The 8,587-nt window shown below is 38.2% G+C and overlaps 3 annotated features.

Annotated features, from left to right (window-relative positions):
* Positions 201 to 260: an enhancer, noted in NCBI's record as "active region_21591". NCBI's record gives its function as "activates an Ori minimal core promoter by ATAC-STARR-seq in GM12878 lymphoblastoid cells {active_cell/tissue: GM12878}" and the evidence as "EXISTENCE:reporter gene assay evidence [ECO:0000049][PMID:35858748]".
* Positions 271 to 460: an enhancer, noted in NCBI's record as "active region_21592". NCBI's record gives its function as "activates an Ori minimal core promoter by ATAC-STARR-seq in GM12878 lymphoblastoid cells {active_cell/tissue: GM12878}" and the evidence as "EXISTENCE:reporter gene assay evidence [ECO:0000049][PMID:35858748]".
* Positions 6,902 to 8,101: an enhancer, noted in NCBI's record as "CDK7 strongly-dependent group 2 enhancer chr4:63303986-63305185 (GRCh37/hg19 assembly coordinates)". NCBI's record gives its function as "activates an origin of replication core promoter dependent on BRD2, BRD4, P300/CBP, MED14 and CDK7 cofactors, with strong dependence on CDK7, by STARR-seq in HCT116 cells {active_cell/tissue: HCT116}" and the evidence as "EXISTENCE:reporter gene assay evidence [ECO:0000049][PMID:35650434]".

Genomic DNA, 8,587 nt, shown 5'->3' on the forward strand with positions numbered 1-8,587 from the left:
ATTAAATAGCACTTCATGGAATTTTAATGAATATTAAATAATGTTGCAGAATTTTGCTCCTTAGTTCAGTTAAAACTAGGAGCTTGTCACACGACCAGGAAAATTTAGGCATGGGGACACATTGAAGGGTGAGTACAGCAGGATTTTATTGGGTGAAAAGGGAAAAAAAGGAAAATAAAACTCAGCAAAGTGAAATGCAGTCCTGCTAACAGGCCCTCCACCTCACAGATTGACTCCCAGGTCACCACAAAAGCTGAAGAGAATAGATGCCTCCCTTGCATAAGGCAGGAATTCCCCATGGTTCCACCCACTTCCCATAGTGCACAGGTGGGGCTCCAGTCTGCTGTGGGCATGCCCAGACAAGCCCTGGGCAGGTTCCCTCAGCTGCTCAAAAGCATCTGATGTAAACACTTGTAGGGCGGGCTGGAGATTCTCTGGGGACCTCTTTTTATCTGCCTAGGCATTTGGCTGTCTCAGTATAATGCATTGTAATGAGAGGTGAAGCTGGCTGGGCTTCTGGGTCGGGTGGGGACTTGGAGAACTTTTATGTCTAGCTAAAGGATTGTAAACACACCAATCAGCGCTATGTGTCTAGCTAAAGGTTTGTAAATGCACCAATCAGCACTCTGTAAAAACGCACCAATCAGAACTCTGTGTCTAGCTAAAGGTTTGAAAACGCACCAATCAGCACTCTGTAAAAACGGACCAATCAGCACTCTGTAAAATGGACCAATCAGCTCTCTGTAAAATGGACCAATCAGCAGGATGTGGGTGGGGCCAAACAAGGGAATAAAAGCTGGCCACCGGAGCCAGTAGAAGCAACCCGCTTGGGTCCCATTCTGTGCTGTGGTAGCTTTGTTCTTTTGCTTTTCACAGTAAATCTTGCTGCTGCTCACTCTTTGGGTCTGCACAACCTTTATGAGCTATAACATTCACCCCAAGGGTCTGCGGCTTCATTCCTGAAGTCAGGGAGACCATGAACCCACCAGGAGGAACAAGCAACTCTGGACGTGACAACTTTAAGAGCTGTAACAACTCACTGCAAAGGTCTGCGGCTTCACTCTTGAAGTCAGTGAGACCATCAACCCACCGGAAGGAAGAAACTCTGGACACATCTGAATGTCTGAAGGAACAAACTTCAGACACACCATCTTTAAGAACTGTAACACTCACTGTGAGGGTCTGAGGCTTCATTCTTGAAGTCAGCAAGACCAGGAACCCACCGGAAGGAACCAATTCCGGACACAGTAATGCATAGTAAATGCTTAGGAAATGTTAGTGAAGAAGAATCTTGACAATGATAAAGCAGTGGGTTGCTTGCCTTTTAATAATAGAGTAGCATTTGTTGCCTATTACAGTCATTTGGAAAATGACAGTTTTCTTGGACTTAAAATAATTTTGAAAGAATAACTACAGAGACAGAATTTTTTTTTACAGTATGTGTGCAGAATATGTATGTTTTGTATGTGGCACAGATTTATTAGCAGAAAATGCTATTTCTACTAGGTTTGAGACCGTGTTTTAACTAAGCCATTACCTTAAAAGGTAAAGATTTTAAAAGGTAAAGTTTTACCCTAAAACTCTATTTTTTACAAGCTATTTTATTTTCTAGGAAATAGTGGTAGATTATTGGAAAGAGTTCACAGAAGTGGGCTTCTGGAAATGGATGAGGTTAGTGACAAGAACCCTTGAGAATTTTAAGTACACAACATTTGCACCAATGAGCTGGAATGGTGGGAGCCAAGGTTAGACATGCATAACCTGCATGGAGTGTAAGGTCAGCACTAAGCCTTTATCTATGTCCAGTAAACTGATACTACTACTACTTAGATGGAGGAAGTGACAAGGCTTCAAGCAATTATTGATGCCTACTTTCATAAAATCTACCTGCTCGGATAGGAAAAGCAGACCTATATTATTTCAGAGAAATGAAAGCCTATTGTTTTGCAATACCACTAGAGAATGTGTACAATTTATAATAAACATTGTTGCAAGGAATTTATACTTCCAATATAACCAATGTGTTTCATAATCATTTAATATTTATTGTCTACTAGTTTCTATGCGTTTTGTATCACAATTTTATTAAATCCTCACAGCATCTCTGCAAGGGCAAATTTCTTAGACTCATTTTGGTGATGAAAGCTTTGAAGCTCAGACAGTTTAATAGTGTTGGCTAAGGATGCACAACTGGAGGATGGCAAAGCATAATTCCATTTTTAATGAGTTACTATGGTTGTATATTCTTTCTCTATTCACCCTGACAGTAGGTAACTGATTGTATAACACCACTTAATTAATCTTATATGAGCTATAGTCTCAGTCATTTTTCTTTTCTATCAAGGAGAATGCTTGCAATGCAAATAAATAAATGTGTATTTTTTTGTTTAATAAGGAAGTTACAATGGACTCATTCTCTGTGGGGCATCTAATTTGAATTTTATTTTTTTACTTGGGATTATGTGTATTGATGAGACACTTCATAGTTCAGGACCAAAAGTGTAACCACTCATTATAGTTGTTAAGAATATAGTTTTGGAATTCAGCAGGCTTGAAATCTTGTATCATCTGCATTGCTTTCTAGGTAAATTATATACTAAGTAAATTTTGCTAAGTTCTGAATCTCCCTAAACCACACTTTTCTCGCACGCAAAAGGAGATATAATACGCTTGTAATCTTAGCACTTTGGGAGACCCAGCGGGTAGATCACCTGAGATCAGGAGTTCAAGATCAGCCTGGCCAACATGGTGAAACCCCGTCTCTGCTAAAAATACAAAAAATTAGCCAGGCGTGGTGGCAAGCACGTGTAATCCAGCTAGTCAGGAGGCTGAGGCGGAAGAATCGTTTGAACCCGGCAGGCTGAGGTTGCAGTGAGCGGAGATTGCACCATTGCACTCCAGCCTGGGCAACAAGAGTGAAACTCCGTCTCAAAAAAAAAAAAAGGAAAAAAAAAGTTTTGCTAGAGGAAACATTAGTGAAGCAAAAGGCAAGCATTTAACAAATGATACCATACTTTTTTTTATTTTTAACAAATTGTTTGAAAGTGTTGTCGATTTGCTTAAAGGCCAAGTTATATTTGTTTTTTCTCTTATATTAATATATCCCATTTTCTTAAAAGAAAATATATTCCATTTTTCCAAACTTGCCCAAGTGCCAAAATCTAATAGCCAGTGAAGTATAGTATTTGTTTTAACCAGGCATTGACCATTTTTTTTCTGTAGGGTTCATGTAAGTAAATATTTTAGGGTTGGTTGGCTAAGCAGTCAGATGCAACTACTTATCACTGCCTTTATAGCCTATAAGTAGCCAAAGATAATATGTAAATAAAACGTGTTGCTGTTTTAGAAGAAAACTTTATTTTCTTTTTTTTTAACTTTTATATTAGGTTTGGAGGTTCATGTGCAGGTTTGTTACATAGGTAAACACGTGCCATGGGGGTTCGTGGTACATGATATTTCATCATCCAAGTATTAAGTCTAGTACCCAATATTTATCTTCTCTGCTCTTCTCCCTTCTCCCACTCTCCCCCTTCAAGTAGATCCTAGTGTCTGTTGTTTCCTTCTTTGTGTTCATAAATTCTTATGATTTAGCTCCCACTTATAAGTGAGAACATGCTGTATTTGATTTTCTGTTCTTACATTAGTTTGCTAAGGATAATAGCCTCCAGCTCCACCTGTTTTCCCACTTAAGACATGATCTCATTATTTTTCATGGCTGCATAGTATTCTATGGTATATATGTACCACATTTTATTTATCCAATGTGTCATTGATGGGCATTTATGTTGATTCCATATCTTGGCTATTGTGAATAGTGTTGCAATGAACATTTGTGTGCAAGTGTCTTTTGGCAGAATGATTCATCTTCTTCTGGATATATACCCAGTAATGGGATTGTTGAGTTGATTGGTTGTTCTGCTTTTAGCTCTTTGAGGAATTGCCATACTGCTTCTCACAATAGTTGAACTAATTTACACTCCCACCAACAGTATATAAGTGTTTCTTTTTCTCCACAACCTCACCAGCATCTCTTATTTTTTGACTTTTTAGTAATAGCCATTGTGGTTGATGTGAGATGGTACCTCATAATGGTTTTGATTTATAATTCTCTAATGATCACTGGTATTGAGTTTTTTTTTTATGTGCTTGTTGGCTGAAAGTATGTCTTTTTATGAGAAGTGTCTGTTCATGTCATTTGCCCACTTTTTAATGTAGTTATTTTTCTCTTGTAAAACTAAGTTACTTATAGATGCTGGATATTAGATCTTTGTTGAATGCATAGTTTGCAAATATTTTCTCTCATTCTAGAGGATGCCTGTTTACTCTGTTGATACTTTCTTTTGCAGTGCAGAAGCTCTTAAGTTTAATTATATCCCATTTGTCAATTTTTGCTTTTGTTGCAATTGTTTTTCATGTTTTTGTCATGAAATCTTTGCCCAGTCTTATGTCCAGGATGGTATTTCCTAGGTTGTCTTCCAGGGATTTTATAGTTTTGGGTTTTGCATTTAAGTCTTTAATCCATCTTGAGTTGATTTTTGTGTATGTTGTAAGGAAGGGGTCTAAGTTCAGTCTTCTGCATATGGCTTGTGAGTTATCCCAGCACCATTTATTGAACAGGGAGTCTTTTCCCTATTGTTTGCTTTTGTCAGCATTGATCAAGATCAGATGGTCATAGATGTTTGGGCTTATTTCTGGGTTCTCTATTCTGTTCCATTTGTCTATGCACCTATTTTTGTACCAGTACCATGCTGTTTTCGTTTCTGTAGCCTTGTAGCATAGTTTGAAGTCAGGTAATGTGACGTCTCCAGCTTTGTTCTGTTTGTTTATGATTGCTGTGGCCATTCTGTATCTTTTTGGTTCTATACAAATTTTAGATAGTTTTTTCTAGTTCAGTGAAGAATGTAATTAGTAGTTTCATAGGAATAGCATTAAGTCTGTAAATTTCTTTGGGTAGTGTAGCCATTTTAATGATATTGATCCTTCCTATTTATGAGCAGGGGATGTATTTCCATTTGTTTGTGTCTTCTCTGATTGGAGCAGTGTTTTGTAATTCTCTTTGTAGAGATCTTTTGTAGAGATCTTTTACCTCCCTGGCTAGCTGTATTCCTCAAAATTTTATTCTTTTAGTGGAAATTGTGAATGGGATTGCCTTTCTGATTTGGCTCTCAGTTTGGCTGTTGTTGGTATATAAGAATGCCAGTGATTTTTGTACATTGATTTTGTATCCTGCCACTTTACTGAAGGTGTTTATCAGCTGGAGGAGCTTTTGGGCTGAGACTATGGGGTGTTCTAGATATAAAATTATGTCATTTGCAAACAAAGATAGATAGTTTGACTTTCTTCCTATTTGGATGCACTTTCTTTTTTTCTCTTGCCTGATTGCTGTGTCTAGGACTTCCAATACTATGTTGAATAGAAGTGGTGAGAAATGGCATTCTACTTTATTTTCAAAAACAGATTGTAAGTGAATTTGGCCTGTGGGTCACAGCTGGTTCATTCCTGAATAAATTATTGATAAGTGGTCATTGATTATCTGCTGTTATTCAACATATCAGTAGAACCACTTTATATCTATGAACAACTAAATATCTAAAAATGCAACACATATTAACTAATGTGTTTGTTTTAAGAAAATTGCTTATTTTATTGGCACTGTCACATGCATTGGTGTCTCTGCCTATCTCTTTTTCTCAATCTTATTTCTGGATTCTGAATAAAGAAAGAAATAAGCTGCAAAAACTTAAAAATATGTAATATGTAGGTTAGCTGGCTTTCAAAATGTTTTGTTAGACCCAAAATAGTAATGCCTTTTGCAGCACGACCTAGTATTAACTTACATACACGCACATATATGCACATGCATGTGTGTTAAACTCTGATCTATTCTATTTCATTTCATGCCATTGCATTATATTCTTTTCCCAGCAAAGGTAACATAAAACTAGGCTCACTAAAATAATTTCATGATATACTATTGCATTATAAACTATAGTTTAGGAAATTAAGATGAGGCATAAGGATCCAGAAACTCACGGGATAGATCTTTAGTGGATTCCTATCCCACAGACATCTTTTCCCATAATGTTGCGATACAATTGCCAGTTTCCTGTACCTGCTGCACAGCAATAGACCAATACACTGAGAAAACAAAGTTTGCAGAAGAGAAAGAGTTTAATAATAGGCCACTAAGTGAACAGAATCCTCAAGCCCTAGGGTTTTTAAGGGGATTATGGAGGGTGAGGGCCTGGAAAATTGGGGTCATTGATTGGTTGGGACAAAGGAGATGAAATCATTAGGATGTGAAAACTGCACTTCTTGCCACATAGCAAGAAGGAATGAAGAAGCACAAGTGGAAACTCCTGATAAATCCATCAGATCTTGTGAGACTTATCCACTAACATGAGAATAGCATGAGAAAGACTGGCCCTCATGATTAGACAACCTCCCCTAGAGACCCTCTCACAACATGTGGGAATTCTGGGAGATACAATTCAAGATGACATTTGGGTGGTGACACAGCCAAACCATATCATTCTGCCCCTGCCCGCCCCCGCAAATCTCATGTCCTCACATTTCAAAACCAATCATGCCTTTCCAAAAGTCCCACAAAGTCTTAACTCTTTTCAGCATTAACCCAAACGTCTACAGTCCGAAGTCTCACCTGAGAAAAGTCAAGTCCCTTCCACATATAAGCCTGTAAAATCGAAAGCAAGCTAGTTACTTCCTAGATGCAATGGGCATACAGGTATTGGGTAAATCTAGCTATTCCAAATGGGAGAAATTGGCCAAAACAAATGGGTTATAGGGTCCATGCAAGCCCGAAATCCAGCAGGGCAGTCAAATTTTAAAGCTCCGAAATGATCTCCTTTGACTCTAGGTCTCATATTCAGGTCACGCTGATGCAAATGGTGGGTTCCCATGGTCTTGGGCAGCTCTGCCCCTGGGCTTTGCAGGGACAGTCTCCCTCCTGGCTGATTTCACAGTCTGGCATTGAGTGTCTGCAGCTTCTCAGGAGGCCAAGGCAGGGGAATTGCTTGAACCCCTGGGAGATTGTGGTGAATGGAGATTATGCCACTGAGCTCTAGCCTGGGTGACGGAGTGAGACTCTGTTTCCAAAAAAGGAAAAAAAAAATTAGACTCCTTGCTACTTATGCAAATTTTTGCAGCCAGCTTGAATTTCCTCTTAAAAATGGATTTTTCTTTTCTATTGCATTGTCAGGATGCACATTTTTTGAACTTTTATGCTCTGTTTCCATTTTAAAACTAAATGCTTTTTAGAGCACCCAAGTCACCTTTTGAATGCTTTGCTGCTTAGAAATTTCCTCTGCCAGATACTCTAAATCATCTCTCTCAAGTTCAAAGTTCCACAAATCTCTAGGGCAGGGGCAAAATGCTTCTAGTTTCTTTGCTAAAACATAACAAGAGTCACCTTTGTTCCAGTTCCCAACAAGTTCCTCATCTCCATCTGAGACTACCTCAGCCTGTGCCTTATTGTTCATATTACTATCAGCATTTTTGTCAAAGCCATTCAACAAGTCTCTAGGAGGTTCCAAACTTTCCCACATTTTCCTGTCTTCTTCTGAGCCCTCCAAACTGTTCCAACTTCTGCCTGTTACCCAGTTCCAAAGTCGCTTCCACATTTTCAGGTATCTTTTCAGCAATGCCCCACTCTACTGGTACCAATTTACTGTATTAGTTCTTTTTCATGCTTTTGATAAAGACATACTCGAAACTGGGAAAAAAAAAAGGTTTAATTGGACTTACAGTTCCACATGGCTGGAGAGACCTCAGAATCATGGCGGTAGGTGAAAGGCACTTCTTACAGGGTGGTGGCATGAGAAAAATGAGGAAGAAGCAAAAGCGGAAATGCCTGATAAACCCATCAGATCTTGTGAGACTTATTCACTATCATGAGAATAGCACAGAAAAGAGCAGCCCCCATGACTCAATTACCTGCCCCTGATTCCCTCCCACAACATGTGGGAATTCTGGGAGATACAGCTGAAGTTGAGACCTGGGTGTGGACACAGCCAAACCATATCAAAGCCATTTGTGGAATCCTTAAGGAATTCAAGCCTTTTTGTGCTCTACTTTGAAATATAGAACTGATTCTCACTTGATGTCAGAAATGCTACCTCTATTAATAAGTTGACAACTGTTCCAAAATACTTTTGGAGAACATTTTTGAGTTGGAGAAATAGACTAGAATAGAAACATAAACAAAATAAAAAGTAGAAAATGAGCCATTTTTTTAAAGTCTATTTTTTGCCTGGTGACAACAATACATTAGGCAGCAAATTTGTTTCTTTTAAGCAATCTTTAGTCAAATGTTTTTTTTCAAAATTTTTAAAGTTTCTTTCTCAGAGCTTTTTTAGGGTTACAGAGAAATTAAAGCAAGTCCAGAAAGGTCATATTTACTCTGCCCTAGACCCCATTCCCTCTGTCCTCAACAGTTTTTGTTATTAATATCTTGCATTGATGTGAAACATTTGTTACAATTGATGAGCTAATATTGATATATTATAATTAACTAAAGTCAGTAGTTTATGTTAGGACTCACTTTTGTGTTTTACAGTTCAATAGCTTT

Source organism: Homo sapiens, chromosome 4 (assembly GCF_000001405.40).
Source record: "Homo sapiens chromosome 4, GRCh38.p14 Primary Assembly".
In the NCBI taxonomy this organism is placed as follows: Eukaryota; Metazoa; Chordata; class Mammalia; order Primates; family Hominidae; genus Homo; species Homo sapiens.